Source organism: Homo sapiens, chromosome 7 (genome assembly GCF_000001405.40).
Source record: "Homo sapiens chromosome 7, GRCh38.p14 Primary Assembly".
Taxonomy (NCBI): domain Eukaryota; kingdom Metazoa; phylum Chordata; class Mammalia; order Primates; family Hominidae; genus Homo; species Homo sapiens.
In genome coordinates, this window is record NC_000007.14 from 45,988,389 (window position 1) to 46,004,424 (window position 16,036).

A 16,036-nucleotide genomic window follows, 5' to 3' on the forward strand; every position below is an offset into this window, starting at 1 on the left:
CCCATGACACAAGTTCAAACCCAGAGAGAAAGTTAAGCCCATTTTAGTCCTTCCTAGTTTATAAGCATGGACCTATTTTCTTCTGAGCTGGGGGAAGCAAAAGATACTGCGGAATTTAGCTGGGAAGCGCACATTCTCTGAGGTCTGATTGTCCACTCTGGTGCCAAGGATGCTCATGAGCACTCTCTGGCTGTTCCATAGCCAGCTTTGACGTGGGGCATTCAAGGACATCCAGGGACACGGCTCACCTTTGGGTGTCAGCCAACCTGGGGAGCAAAGATTCCCCAGGCAATGCAACTGTTCAGTCCCATCCACAAATGCTTACTGAACACCTTCTACAATTAGTCATTGCACCTCATGGAGTGACAGGGACGTGAGGAATCCATAGCCCTGGGGTCTGGGGGCCAGGTGTACATGTGTGTGTGATGTTAATGATCGCCTCAGGAGGTGGAGCAAACTCCTCACTCCTCACGTTGGGGCACACAGAGCAGCTTCCATCCACAGAGCACAGCATGGAAAATGGGAAGGGAGAGGCACTCTATGGTGGAAAAACTAACAGGACCTCCTCCCGGTGGTCAAGGCCAACACCCATAGTGATGAGTCACACTGACAATGTGTACCATTTATGTGATGTGAGGCCCTTCACCGCTGTGGGCTTCCTCCCCAAACCCATATTTCAGTCTAATCATGAGAAAACCATCAGACAAACCCTATTTTGGAGACATTCTACAAAATACTTGACCAGTCCTCCTCAAAACTGTCAAAGTTGTCAAAAACCAGAAAAATCCTGACAGCCAAGAACTGCCAAAAGAGATATGACAACTAAATGTCCTTGGTATCCTGGCACAGGAGAAGAACATTAGGCAAAAACCAAGGGAACCTGAGTAATTTATCAATATTGGTTCATTAATTATAACAGATGTGCCATACACATGTAAGACATTAATGATAGGGGAAACTGGGTATGGGTTACATGGAAACTCTCTTCACTATTTTCATAAATTTTATTTACTAAATTTGTGACTTTTTAATCTAAATCTGTTCCGGAATAAAAAGTTTATTAAAAAAGACCACTCCATCCAGTAGGCAATAGCAGGTGACCTGCCAAAGAGGTGGAGCCAGTTGGTGGCTGGAGGCAATCGAGATGCTCGGGGGATGGTGACAGATGCATCTAAGACATGACAGTGATGAGGCAGTGTCCCAGACACCAAGGGCGACACCCCCAGGAACCTGGACCCTTTACGGTGGCTGAGATCCTTGCAGGATCAGTACAATGAGAGTTATTATGGCTACTCTGACCCATCAGTAACCAGGCTTGTGAGATTGGCAGGAACCTGGGATAACATAAAGCTATGAAGGCAGAGCCTCAAGAAACCTGAAGAGTGTAGCCAAGGTCATGTTGAGATCAGAGCTCACAGCTAACAGATAACAACACAGCAAAGGCATGAAGCCCAGCACGAGTGAAGGGGCATCAGTGATGCAGACACCAAGACGACAATAGAAAGGGTCCAGAAGGGTCGTCCTGAAAATTAAGTTGATGTAAGTGTCTATTGGAGAATTTACCTTTCCTTTGTATCAGCAATCAGCATGCTTGCTCTTTCTGACATAGGGATCCAAGTTCATTCACTAAAACCAATCTTAGACATAGGAGAGGACTGCTCTTTCTGTCAGATGAGTCCAACTAGAGCCTGAAATAAAGCCAAAATGCAAGTTGGCAAAACTATGGTTTGGAGAGAGACAGACTGCACACACACTTGATAGTGTTTAGTTCCTGGATGGAGCTGTTCCTGAAGTCTACACCTGAGCTTGCAGTATAACTTTTGTTTGTATTTTGCTTAAGCCAGTTTGAATGGGATTTATGCTACTTAGAATAAAAGGGTCCTGAGAATCTTTCTGCTACTGAGAAAGATCACAGAATAGTGAGTGCTTCTGTCCCCAGGGCACTCCTGGGAGGCAGTTTGCAAATGCATTGGGGAGGAGATGAGATTTTCTGAAGTCAGATTGTGGTGAACAGGGCATATCCTCAGGAAAGCACAGAATGCCACAGCTAGCCAGGCTGTGAAAGGCTCTCTGGAGCCTGGAATGCCGTCATTGTTCTGAGGTTTTGCATCATGTCTAAAGTCACTGTCCTGTCCTCCTAACAGGAGAATGGAGTCCCAGAAACCTAGGAGGAGAAGACAAAGTGTCAGCCTCTCGGCATCTGCAGTGTTGCTAGGAAAAGAGCTCTGATCCCAGGGGCTTACCCACTTCCACAGGTAGGAAGCGTCCCTGAGAGGACTGGAACATTAGCATATCTCAGATCCATCTGCAAAACTTTTGCAAACACGGAACTCCCTCGTTCTAATCTTATCAGCAACTTCCAGAGCTGAACCTTGATTAATCTGGATACAAAAAGGATTGAAACGCCACATAATAAGCATTAACAGGAGGGTGTTTCCTTTATCAATGAAGCTTGATTTATCCATGATGATCTAGTGCATTCTCCTCCCAAAAATCAGGATCATCCTCTGCATATGAAGGAACAGACAAGCCCTCAGCTCTACCACTTTGGAGAGGGGGGGATTGGACAGCATGAGCCTTCAATTGTATCTCTTGGATGACCAAGGAAGGCTGGATTTCTGCACCTAAAAAATGGAAGCACAAACTGTACAACAAATACTCTCCATTCAAGTTGAAGTTCTCAAATAAGGTATCCAATTAACCAATGTATTAATAACATTGAAAATAATAATCTCATAGGAAGATTCCAAAAATTTCTGGTTTTATATCTAGCAAAAACTTCATGCACTATGTTTGATTTGTATGTAGAACTCAGGGTGAACATGCCAGTGACAGTGGCAATGAGAGGGGTAACTGGGGGCCAGAAGCAGGCTGAGGGAGAGGAGAGGAGGGGGCAGAGTGTGCTCAGGGAACCATGAGCCATGCAGGATAAGCAATAGGGCAGAATAAACAGGACATACCCATCTGTTTATTCTCTCTGTATAATGTTTTGATTCTCTTTGTACCCTAACTAACCAAGGCACAGCTCAGGAAGTTGCTGCCAGGATTAGAAAAAGGGAGTTGCACATTCTCAAAAAGCAATGGTACAGTGCAAAGAATGGTAATTAATCCCCCAGCACACTTGACCCAGCCCCTAAAGAACTTTGTGACCTTGGGCCAGGCAGGCAGCTCCCAGGCTTCTGTTTTGTCATTTTTGACCTCTTCTGGCTGCAGTGATTCATTTCCAGATATAGGTTGCTTCAGCTCATCTCAAAGTCTTCTTGTAGCCTGTTCTTTGAGAAATGGTAATATATCTCTTGAAAAGTTTCTTTTTCTTGCAAAGTCACCCAATTCATGAGTTAATGAGGTCCCACCAGTGATACGATTGCAGAGTCACAAATATCACTAACTGAAAGGAGTAGAAGGAAGGCGGGAATTGCAGACACACCATGAGTGGGTGGCCTCCAGGAGATACACGTGAGACCAGCCCTGTGGTGGGCCAGGTCAGAAGGACTTCTGCTTAGACTAGGTGGAAACTTCTCAGCATTCTGAGGAGTACCACCATCTGACTGGCAGTTTGAAGGTATCACTTGGGCTGCTGTATCAAGAATAGACTTCAGAAGACAAGTTGAACGTAGCAAGACCAGTGAGAAAGGTGTCATAGCCGTCCAAGTGCAGGGTGGCAGTGGAGATAGGAGTTATATTAAGGAGAGAGTCACCAGGATTTGCTGATGGGTTAGGTGTGGGCTGTGGAAGAAAGATCAAAGTCAAGAATGACTCCAATGACATTGTCCTAAGCAATTGGAATGATGAAATCACAGTTGTTGAGATGGGGAACCTGCACATGGAGTGAGTCTGGAGGAGAGATTAGTTGTTTGGCTTTGGCCATGCTGAGTTTCAGATGTGTTTCGACACACATGTGGAGGGGTTACGCTTGAATGTCTGAGTCTGACTTTTGTATTGAGATGTTCCTATCCTACTTCTTCCTACCTCCACCCTGCAAAGGATGGCCATGGTTATCTTCAGTGCCCCCACAAAGCTCTGTGCAGATTCCTGGTATGTCACATTTATTTCAAATGGCTTTACTGAGATGTAATTGATATATAGTTCACCCATTTAAATTGGACAATTGAATGGTTTTTAGTATATTCACAGAGTTTTGATCATGTGTAACATGGTCTATTTTTAGAATATTTTTGTCACCCCTTCCCCTCTAAAAAACCTCATAGCCATTAGGAAACATTCTCCATTTCCTAGCATGGTATTTTAAAATAGTGACAATTCCTATTTTCAAGTCTGTCAGTAAGCCTCTTAATGGTAGGGACTTCCGTGTTATTTGTTTTTGCATTTCACCCTGTAACAATTACTCAAAAAAGCTGTTGTATGAATGAACTACAGTTTGAAAAATACGACCCCAAGACTGTGTGTCTTTAAGAGAGAACCAACCCTTTGCATTCCGGTGCTCTTCGTATGGCTGCCTGTAGCATTTTTCAGATCTAGTTGAGAAACCGATGGGAGGATATGGAGATAAGTCTCATTACTCTTTTCTTTCTTGGCTATACTTCTCTAGCATCTGTTGTAAACAAAACAGAAAAGAGTCTTTCTAAACCTGGTGAAAATATCTCAAATGCAAGGAAGCCAGTGATGAAAAATGCAATATCAAAGTTCGGGCTGTTACAAACACATGGCATAAATCACATCTGCTCATTAAACTTATTACAAAGAATGATAACAAAAGCAAAGAGATGTCTGAAAATGTCTTGGGAAAAATAAAGTAGCTAATAAATTCGTGGTTTTACTGTTTTATGTCATAAGGATGGATATAATTTCATTTGGGACAAATGTTTCTGGACTCAGACTACAGACTACAGATTTGGAGCTGAAGGCCACTACCAAGGCAATCTCCTCTAACATCTTCATTTCAGAGCTGATGAGCTAGATAGTCATGCCCTGTGACCTCTCAGCTGGTTATGGCAGAGCTCGCCCAAGAGCAAGGGGCGTAATATATTAATTAGTTTAAACTGATATGCGTTATGTACTAACAGGGTCTGGGCAGACCAGTAGCATCTAAATATTATTCTAAGAGTCAGAAGCTTTTTTTCCAATAAAGCCTTATGCTGAAAACAATAATTATGGCAGAATCCTTCTGATGGAGCCTGGGGGGTGGACTGCTTTTTCCCTCTGCTGCTGCAGCCCTGACGTGGTTTAGTGTGTCCTGGGACTATCCCTTTGACATCCCTCCTCTGTATTCTTCTGAAATACAGGACCCATCCACTGCATATAGTCACAAGTTTACTTGCTTCTCTTCCCTCCTAAACTGTGGAATCTCTCAACATAATGATTGTGTCTTACACAAAACTGCATATCTCAGTTTCTGAACTCAGGAAATATTAACTTTGTTCTTTGACTTGCCAGGTTCTTTTCAAGGTGTTGGTGACACAGATATGAGGAAAACAGAGTTGACTCATGGTGATGGAGCTTACATTCTATGGGGCAAGAGTGAGCAGAGGGTAAATCATGAAATAAAGAACTTACTATAGACACATATTGTGGGGAAAATACAGCAGCAGAAGATAATAGGAAGTGTCAGGACATTTGGAGTGGCTAAATCTGCTGTTTTTTTTTTTTTTCCAGAATGTGGACAAGAAGACATCTTCAATAAAGTGACATTTATATAGAGACATAAAGAAATGGAGGGGGAGCCATGCATATCAAGGAACATAAGTGCAAAGGCCTTGAGTTAGAATCCTGTAGGGTGATTTGTAGAAACAGTAAGGCCAGAGAGGAACACAGCTGGAACAGAGTGAATTAGGAGATGTGAACAGAAAGGTCGCAGGGAGTCAGGTTATTTAGGACTCTGTAGGCCATTGTAAATATTTGGGATGGGACACTGGGCAGAGGAGTAACATCATCTCATTTCAGTTTTGAAAGGTTCACTCCAGCTACTCTGTTGACAATGGATTATAGAAGACTGAACATGGAATCCAGGAGACCAGTCAGAAAACTTCTTCAGGAATCCAGCACAGTAATGGCAAATTCATCCTTCCCCTTTATTAGGCCTCTCTACTCCACATTTTTCATTGCCTGCATTCCAATCCATCTGCAAATCCTTTGGCTGTACCACCTAAATATGCTCAGAATCTAATCACTTCTTATCACCTCCACTGTTCCCCATCTAAGGCACCCTCATGTCTCATCTCATTATTGCCATTAGCTTCCCAGCCTCAATCCTCTCTATTGCTTCCTCTTAACACAATAGCCTGTGGTTCTTTGAAAATGTCAGTCAGAAGCAGAAAATGGCAGAGTAGGGAACTCTAAAACTGTTTCTTCACTAAAGCAACAATAAAGTTGGCATAAACTATTAGGTTAACTTTTTAAAACTAAGGAATCTAATAAAAAATATACAACAATAAAAGAAGTGTTTCACAAAGAAAGAAGCTCCTAAATTTCAGCAAAAGAGTATTGTGGTGCTTTAACTTACCTATACAATTTACCACTTTCCAGCTTGGTGGTAGCTGTGGGGCTGGCTGCCCATGTTATTGACATAACTTGATGGCCCCAGAGGAGGCACTTAGTCTCAAACAATTATGATTGTATGTCTGTCTGGTGGCTCCCCGAGTGATTGGTGAGGGAATTCCCTATGTTTCACATGCCTCTGAACTTTCTCAGGCCTGAAGCAGCCTCCTGAGTGGCATTTAAAGAAATCATTTAAGGCAAACATACTCACTGCTGCTGCCTGGGGAAGGTTATAACAGATAGCAAAAGCAGCAGACAGACTAGAAAGGTTAGGAAAAGTCAGGGAAAGAATATAAATGTGAGAATAAGTATTTTAATAGATTCCACATAATTGGATAACCTGGAAGTCCACACAAATGCCCAGGACTAGACATGCTCAGAAAAGACTGGAGAACACCATGAACTTTCATCTCTGGCTCCTGTCTTTAGGCTCCCGTGAAGCTGAAAGTGGACATTAAGCAAATGTAAATGGCCTAGCTAAGCATTAAAGGAATGCTCAAACACGTAGCCAGTCCACAAAGACTTGAAGTATTTTTTGTTACATTGGGTTTAGGCATTTAAGAAAACCTCTGTTAAATCACCAGCTGACCAGTAAGTTAACAGAACTGGAACTTTGGTGACTACACATAACAGAGAAAACAGTCTTATAAAAAGAATTTAGAAGAGTCACTAAACAACTACAACCTACAAGTAGCAACAGCAAATCCTGGGGAGAAGAAGATTATGATTTCTAGAGTTACAGATTATGATATTAAAAATGTTCAATTATCAAAAATTTACAACACATGCAAAGAAACAAGAATGTATGACCCACTCACAGGAAAAAATAAATGAACCAAAACTGTCCCTAAGAAAACACAGACATTGGATTTACTATAAAAAGACTTTAAATCAACCATCTTAAATATGCTTAGAGAGATAAAGAAAAACCATAGACAAAGGAGACCATAAATATGATGCCTAGACAAATAGAGATTACCAACAAAGATAGAAAATATAAGAATAGACCAAACAGAAATTCTGGAGCTAAAAAATGCAATCTGAAATTAAAGCTTCACTAGAGAGATTCAGCATAAAATTTGAACAGAAAGAAGAAAGCATCCTCAAAATTTCAAACTAAACTTAAGATAGCTCAATGTAGATTATTCAATTTGAGAAGCAGAAGTGGAAAGAAATGAAGAAAAATGGACATACCTTAAGAGACCTGTGGGACACTGTGAAGTGTACCATTATATGCATAATGGAAATCCTAGAAGAAGGAGAGAAAGAAGCAGAAAAGTTATTTCAAGAAATAATGGTCCAAATTTTTCAAATGTGAGAAATAACATAAATCAGCATATCAGGGAATCTCAATGGACTTTTAACCAAAAAAGCACAAAGACTCCATTACGCGTTATAATTAGACTTTCAAAAGGAAAAGCCAAAAAAGAATCTTGAAAGCAGGAAGTAAGAAGCAACTTGTCATGTTTTTGTACAAGGAATCTTAAATAAGAATAAGAGTCAACATCTCATCAGCAAGCATGAAGGGCAGAAGGAAGTGGGACAATATATTTAAAGTGCTGATAGAAAAAAAACTGTTAACCAAGAATTCTGTCTGGCAAAACTAATCAATGAAGAAGAAATAAAGACATTCCCAGATAAATAAACTTTGAAGAAGTTCATCACTAGTAGGCCTGTCCTACAAGAAATGCTGAAGGTATTCCTTGAGGTTGAAATAAAAGGACACCAGACAGTAACTCAAAGCTGTATGAAGAATTAAAGAAGACCAGTAAAGGCAGCTACAGAGATAAATATACAAGCTAATATTATTGTATTTCTGGTTTGTAACTTCTCTTTTCTTTTTCTTTTTTCCCCTATATGGTTTAAAATTCAAATGCCAAAAATAATATAAATTTGTGTTAATGGGCACTCAATGTGTAAAGACAAAATCTGTGACAATAATAACATAAAGAGATGGATGAGGCTGTATAATAGCAGAGGTTTTGTACACAATTCAGGCTAAGAGGGTATTGATTCAAGCTACATTGTTATAAATTTAATATGTTAATTACAATCTCCAGATTGTGCGGTAGAAAATAAAGAAAATAAAAAAGTGAAGAAAATAATTAAAAACTATGCAGAAAAGAAAATAGGAATTGAACAAAAATGGACTAGAAAAAATCAATTACACAAAAAACAAATCCATAATGAAGGAATTGAGAAAAACATATACAAAATCTATGGAATATAAATAGCAAAATGAGAGAAGGAGGCCTTTCCTTGACAGTAATTACTTTAAATATAAATGAATCAAACTATTCAATTAAATGGCAGAGATTTTCAGTATGTATTAAAAAACGTGATCCAACTATATACTATCTAAAAGGGACTTATTTTAGCTATAAAGACACAAAAATGCTGAAAATAAAAGGACAGATAAGATACTTCATGCAACTACTAATCAAAAGAGATCTGGAACGTCTCCACTATTATTAGACAAAATAGACTTTAAATTTCGTTTTTTTGCTTCCAAAAGCTTTATTTTAATTTGATCCAAGGCTTGGGAGAGTGCTCCAGGGTAGTTAAAAAGCTGCCCAGTGGCTGGAGGGAGAGGCTTAGGCAGAAGCCCTGTTACTTTGCAAGGGGCCCCCCAGAAGTCCCTGGGCTCAGTAGGCTCCTAGTTGTACTTGAAGGTGAGCCTTTCAAAGAGATACTCGCCAGCCCAGCCTCCAGGCCAGCCAGCCTGTGCAGCCTGTGGAGGTTGGTCAGGTGGTCACCCATCTTCTTGATGAGTTTAACTTCCTCATCTAGGAAGTGACTCTCCAGGAAGTCACAGAGATGGGGATCTGTGTAGCCAGAACTGAGGGCATGAAGATCCAAAATGGCCTAGTTCAGATTTTTCTCCAAGGGCATTGTGGCTTCCATGGCATCCAAAGTTGTACCCCACTTATCTTGAGCCGGTTTCTGGATGTCCTGGAAGACAGCATGCTGCCACACTGGTTTTGTATCTTTGAGCGATGCTCGGTGCTCTCATGCTTCTCCTCAGCTGATTTGCAGAAGTGGCCCATGCCTTCCAGAGCCACATCATCATGGTCAAAATAGAAGCCCAGAGAGAAATAGGTTTAGAAGATCCACAAGTACAAATTGACCAGGTGGTTGATGGCTGCCTCCACCTCAATGGAATAATTCTGATAAATCTGGGAGCTCATGGTTAGCAAGAAGGAGCTAACTACAAAAATGGTGTTGGCTGGTCCCAGAAGCAGGAGATGACCGAGAAGATGTTCCCGAAGGTTGAAAATGGAGAGAAGATTGGAAGGTAGCTGGAGACTGGAAGAAAGAGAGTTCCTGGATCTGTTCCATCCAAACACTGTTGAAGCAAGAGACAGATCCACAGGACTGCTGAATGTGCTGCCTAGACTTTAAAATGTATCATAGAAGACAAGAAAATTGTGTATTCAAAAAAGGTTAATCCATCAAGAATATATGACAATGATGAACATACCTGAACATCAAACAGAACCCCCAAGACACATGAAACAAAAATTAACAGAAATAAACTGAGAAAAAAAATTCTACAATAATATTTGGAGACTTTAATATCCAAATTTCAATAATGAATAGAACAAATAGACAAAATGTCAGTAAGGAAATAGAGGACTTAAACAACACTATAAACAATTGGAATTAGTAGACATATAAATAACACTCCACTACCACAAACACCAGAATATGCATTCTTCTCAAGTGCACATGTAACATTCTCCAAGCTAAATCTTATATTAGGCCACAAAACAAGTCACAGTAAATATTAAAAGGTTGAACTCATACAAAGTATTTTCTCTGACTACGAAGGAATGAAACCAGAAACCAGTAACAGAAGGATAGCTGGAAAACTCAGAAATATGTGGAAATTAAACAACATACTCATAAATAAGCTCTAAGTCAAAGAAGAATTTAGAAAATACTGTTTTTTTTTTTCAGGATGGATAAACCCCTCTTAGGAAGCAGGCAACAAACAGCTGCAGACAAAAGTATACCTTATAACAACAACCCAACATACTAGAAGATTTTCCAGTTTAAAAGACACAGAATCCTAAAATGTGAAACTGCAGAGGAACTCAGAGGCCACTGTCCAAGTCTGTCACAGTCCTCCATATGGCAAAGATGAAGAAAACTGGCAATCTTTTTAGGGGTACCAAGGATCTCCGTTTGTATGGTCTTTATAAATGCAGAGCAGGATGTGGCTTTCCTGCCCCAATTTCACCTCAAGGCATCTACAGCAACCCCACATGGCTCCCCTCTGTGCTCATGAAATAACTTGAGGTCAGGGTCTCTCAGCTTTAAAGCCTTGGAATCCTACGCATAGTTTGTTTGTGTGTAGATATGCAGTTTGAAGGGTAGCTTCTGTAACAAGGTGTTGAACTCCACGAAAGTTCAGAATCATGTCACTGGATCCCTAGTCCGTCTCCACAGACCAGGGTGCCAGTCAGGTCAGTTGCTGTGGTAACTGCAGCAGATGGTCCCTTTAGAGATGGAGTCCAGGGATGTCATGGCCAAGGCACAGAGTTTTATATCAACTGAAGAAAGTGAAGACCAGCCAGAGAGGCTGCAGTTCAGGGAATCCAGAGGCTCCTCCCCCACCATGATACTAGGAAGGTCTATCCCCAGGGTGACAGAAATAAGGCACTGGACTGATTCAGGCATGCTAGGTTCCCAGCAGAGGAGGGTGAGGGAGGAGATCCAGGGGGCCTGGCTCAGTCATCTTACCTGGTGCACCTTTCTCCCCCAGAGATAATTCTTTCAAAAAAGTTTGGATCCTACACAGACCAAAAATGCTGGTGTCAGGGCTTTTACAAAGTGCCTGTGGTGCTGTAGATCCTGCAGCAAGGTGCTCTTGGCAGGCACCCAGTACAGTTCTGCCCTGTCCTCATCCTCAATATAGACCTCCAAATTATCAGGGCAATATTTTTGCTCTAGGTCCCAAGAGGGTGTTTCACCAAACATCACCATTAGATGATCAATAAATCTGGAGTCCTCATGAAAAGCAGAGATGAAATCCGATTGGGCATACTCTGGGTACAGAAAGAGCACAGGCCAGCTCAGCCTGCCCTGGTCATCTAGACTCAGTCTGGCTCCATGGGGGTTCTCAGAGCTGAGTCCATCCAGGAAAAGCTCACCTAGACCTTCTGAGGCTGAAACTTCATCCTCACAGGCAGCTTCAGAGAGCCTGATATTCCTAGCCTTGGTATCCTGGAGTAAAACTTCATTCTGATTCCTCTCCTTTTCTTTCAAGTTGGCTTTCCTCACATCCCTCTGTTCAATTAGCTTCAGCTTGTCTACTTTAGCCCTCATTTCCAGAAGCTTCTTCTCTTTGGCATCTATCTGCAGTCCCTCATCACATCAGTTCACAGCCTTGGCAAAGTGTTTCAGTTCCAGATGGCATAAGGCACCTCTTATTATTGCTTTGAGGTAGCACGGTTTTAACTTTTTGGCAGCTGTCACATCACGGAGAGCAGAATGAAAATTGCCCAGATAGTATTGTGCTGCTGCCCGGTTGGTATAAAGGACAGCACTCAAATCAGGATTTGCACATTTCTTCTTTAATCCCTCAGTGTAGGAAATTACAGCTTTCTTGTAGTCTTTTTCTTTAAAATAATCATTGCCCTCATCTTTATAGGTCTTGGCCTGTTCTGGAGAATGCTCCCCATCAAAAATAATTGACTGGAGACAAGCCAAGTCAGGATTCTCCCTGGGATCAATTTCTGATGGCGCTTTCTTCATAAACAGGGGGACCTTTTCAAATTCCTCTTCCCACTGGTCCTCATGAAAGCCGCCACGGTAAGGCTGGCTCTGGAACTTTTCCAGGAACAAGTCCGTGGCATCGTCTGAGGTGGGGTCCTGCTCAGGTTACTCCATAACTGATGCCCTGCCCTCCAGCCCAGGTCCCGGCACCGTGAAGTGTAGAAAATACTCTACAATGAATAAAAATAAAATACAATATTCAAGATTTATGAATGCAATAAAAGCAGTGGTCAGAAGGAACATTTAAGCTCTAAACACATTAAAAAAGAAGAATGATATTAATAGAAAATCTAATTGTGTATCTTACATAACTAGAAAATGAAAAGCAGTCTAAAGCCAAAGCATGAAGGAGGTAGGAAATAATGATTAGAGGAAACATAAATGACATAGAGAATAGAAAAACAAGAGAGAGTATCAATGAACCTAAAATTTGGTTCTTTAAAAAGATTACCAGATTTGACAAACCTTTAGCTATACTAATAATAGAAGACTAAAATAAATAAAATTAAAAATGAAATCATAGACATTATAACTGATACCATAGAAATACAAAGGATCAAAAGAAACTACTAATGAACAATTATATGCCAACAAATTGGATTACCTACAGGAAATTGATGAATTCCTACAACATACAACCTACCAACGCTGAATCATGAAGAAATAGAAAATCTAAACAGACCAATAGTGAGTAAAGAGATTGAGTCTGTAATCAAAAATCTTACAAAAAAGAAAAGCTCAGTATCAGACAGCTTCACTGATGAGTTCTATCAGTCCTTTAATGAAAATTTATACCAATCATTGCCAAACTCTTTCATAAAATTGAAGAGATGAGAATAGTTCATAATTCATTGTATGAGGCTGGCATTACGTAGATACAAAGCCAGACAAAGACATTACAAGATTGTCTCTTTTAAGTATAGATGCAAAGCCTCTTGATAAAATCCTATCAAACTGAATACAGCAGCATATTAAAGGGATCATACTCCATGACAAATGGGATTTATCTCAGTAATGCAAGAATGGTTCAACGTATGAAAATCACTCAATGTAAGAAACCACATGAATAGAATGAAGGGAGAAAAAAGACCCCAAAATATACGAACATTTCAGTTGATGCAGAGGAATCATTTGATAAAGTTCAACATTCTTTTAAAACACTCAGTAAATGAAGAATAAAAGATATCTTCCATAACACGATAAAGGTGATATATGAAAAACCCACAGCTAACATCACACCCAATATTGAAAGACTCAAAGCTTTCCCTTAACAATGGGAACGAGAGCAGGATTCCTACTGTCGCTATTTTTACTCAATATAGTAGTAGAAATTCTAGCCAGAGCAATTAGAGAAGTCAAATAAATGAAAATCTTACAAATTGAAAAGAGAGAAGTTCTCCATTCACAGATGACCTGGTCTTATGTGTAGAAAGCTCTAAGGATTTAATAACAAAACTATTAGAGCTAATAAATGAATTAAGCAAAGTTGTAGGACAAAAAAACAATAAACAAAATCAGTTGTGTTTCTATACACTAGAAATAAGCAATAGGACAAGTTTTTTAAAACTTTCTTTTTATAGTAGCATCTGAAAGAACAGATATGTAGGAATTTAATCGGAAATTAAAGACGTACTGAAAACTACAAAACATTGCTGAAATAAAGAAGTCATAAATCAATGGAATGTGTTCATGGTGTAAGATTTAATATTGTTAAGGTGATAATGCTACTCGATTTGCTTTGCTAATCAAAGCAATCTACAGATTGAATCCAACAATTTTTTTTTTCTTGTGGAAATAGAAAACCCATTCTAAAGTTCATATGAAATCTTAAGGGACCTTGCATAGCCAAAACAATCTTGAAAAGAATAAATGTGGACAACTCACATTTCCTGATTTCAAAACTTATCACAAAGATACAGTAATCAAAACAGTGAGGTACTTGTATAAAGACAGACATACAGACCAATAGATTTGAATAGATATTCCAGAAGTAAACTCTCACATACACAGACAATTGATTTTTGACAAGGGCACAAAAGCCATTCAATGGGGAAAAGGACAATCTTTTCAACAAATGGTGCTGGGAAAACTGTGTATCCACATGTAAAAAAATGAAGTCAAACCTTTTCCTCAAATTATATACAGAAATTCACCAAAAATGAATAAAATACTTAAATATAAGAACTAAAACTATAAAACTCTTAGAGGAAAACATACAACTAAATCTTCATGATATTAATTTCTTAGATATGACACCAAAAGGATGAGGAATAACAAAAATAGATAAACTGAAGGGTAGAAAGCAAAGTGATAATGGAAGATGAGAGTCGAGTGATGTGACCAGGAGCCAAGGAATGCCATGGCCTCTAGATGTGGGGAGTTAAGGGACCAATTTTCCCTGGAAACTCCTGAAGGAACTTGCCATGCCAACACCTTGATTATAGCCCTTTAAGATACATTTTGGACTGTTGATCTCCAGGATTGTAAGATAATACATTCGTGTTGATTTAAGCCACTGAATATGTGGTGATTTGTTACAGCAGCAATAGTAAACTGATACACAATCTCAATGAAAGTAGGGATTTCTGTCTTCCCACACCCTGCTCACTTCACTAGAGAATTTATAGCACTTAGTGTATTCTTCGATAAATATTTGTTGAGTAAGATGAATGAAGCCAGACTTTAGAGTCAGATTACACTTGGCTGGTTAACTGTTGTGAGGAAAGCAGTTGAAAGTTCTCTTGGCCTTGCTTCTACTTGCACTGGGAAGCACTGTCATCAATGAAGGGGTTGCTGTGGGTTTCAAGAGAAAAGAAAAGGTGTGAGAATCTCCCAGGTACAGTGGGAGCTCATCTGGACTAGGGAAATAAAATAGGATTGCTTGGTTATTGCTCACTTGGTCACTAATATAACATGAATTGAGACAGTATGGTTGTATATTTTTCTCCAATTAAGGTTATGGGGTGGCATGGCCTAGGGGAAGTTACTTATTTTGCAAGGGTGATTTGATAGAGGCAGCAAGCCAGGTAGCTGGGATGTTTGCAAGGGCATGATCATAATGGTGTACCATGCAATTTAAGCAGGGGCAGGTGGAAATAAGGACTTGATGTGATATGTTCAGATCCATGAATAAGACATCATAACAGGAGTCACAGTATTGTCAGACTAGAAGTACTGGAGGAAGGGAGCTGGACATTTGAAAGAGATGGGAGGGTGGAATGTTTGAGATTGAGTGAATGGAGGTGCTGTGTTCATTTGGTCATGCTAAGGTCTTGGGGTGGCCATGGGAGGGGTGGGTGGCTGAGGTGGGGCAGAGGACAGACTCATCTGGAGATGATGCAATAAATGAAGGGGAAAGCTAGGCCCTGCAAGGAGCTCTCTTGTGTGTATTAAAATCATCAAAAACTGTGGCAGGAGTGATTGCAGAGATCCTAGTGACCCATGATCAAGGAATGAAGAGGAAGACCAGCGGTCTAGAGATTACTGCACATGTGGGGTGGGAAGAGGGCGGTAACAGATGACAATCATTAATTTGATAAAAAAGTATTGAATGTCTGCTCTGTGCCAGGCACATGGTGGTAGGGTCTGATGGGAGGTTAAAGGGAAGAGAGGTGGATAATGTTCTGGAGATTTCAATGAGCAAGAAGGGTATTTAGCCCACATTGAGGCCCAACAGATTGAAGCCTTAAAAGAAAACAGCAACACCTGAGAAGGATGCCAGGAAATGAGTCCTAGGGGTACATGTGGAGTCAGCTGGAGC

The 16,036-nt window shown here is 40.3% G+C and overlaps 2 long non-coding RNA genes and 2 pseudogenes across 2 annotated transcripts in view; 1 reads left to right on the forward strand and 3 right to left on the reverse strand.

Moving 5' to 3' along the window:
* The window catches only part of LOC102723446 (uncharacterized), a 52,707-nt gene extending 47,940 nt beyond the window's left edge, over positions 1-4,767 (forward strand). The window contains exon 4 of the long non-coding RNA NR_187744.1: positions 2,145-4,767. This is a non-coding gene — a long non-coding RNA (uncharacterized LOC102723446). The remainder of the gene's footprint in view (positions 1-2,144) is intronic.
* Positions 3,640-16,036, reverse strand: part of LOC105375264 (uncharacterized) — a 32,395-nt gene continuing 19,998 nt past the window's right edge. The window contains exons 2-4 of the long non-coding RNA XR_001745204.2: positions 7,690-7,744; positions 4,426-4,552; positions 3,640-3,726 (exon numbers count right to left, since the gene is read on the reverse strand). This is a non-coding gene — a long non-coding RNA (uncharacterized LOC105375264). The remainder of the gene's footprint in view (positions 3,727-4,425; positions 4,553-7,689; positions 7,745-16,036) is intronic.
* FTLP15 (ferritin light chain pseudogene 15) lies at positions 8,999-9,886 on the reverse strand (annotated as a pseudogene).
* On the reverse strand, positions 11,125-12,433 carry TTC4P1 (tetratricopeptide repeat domain 4 pseudogene 1; annotated as a pseudogene).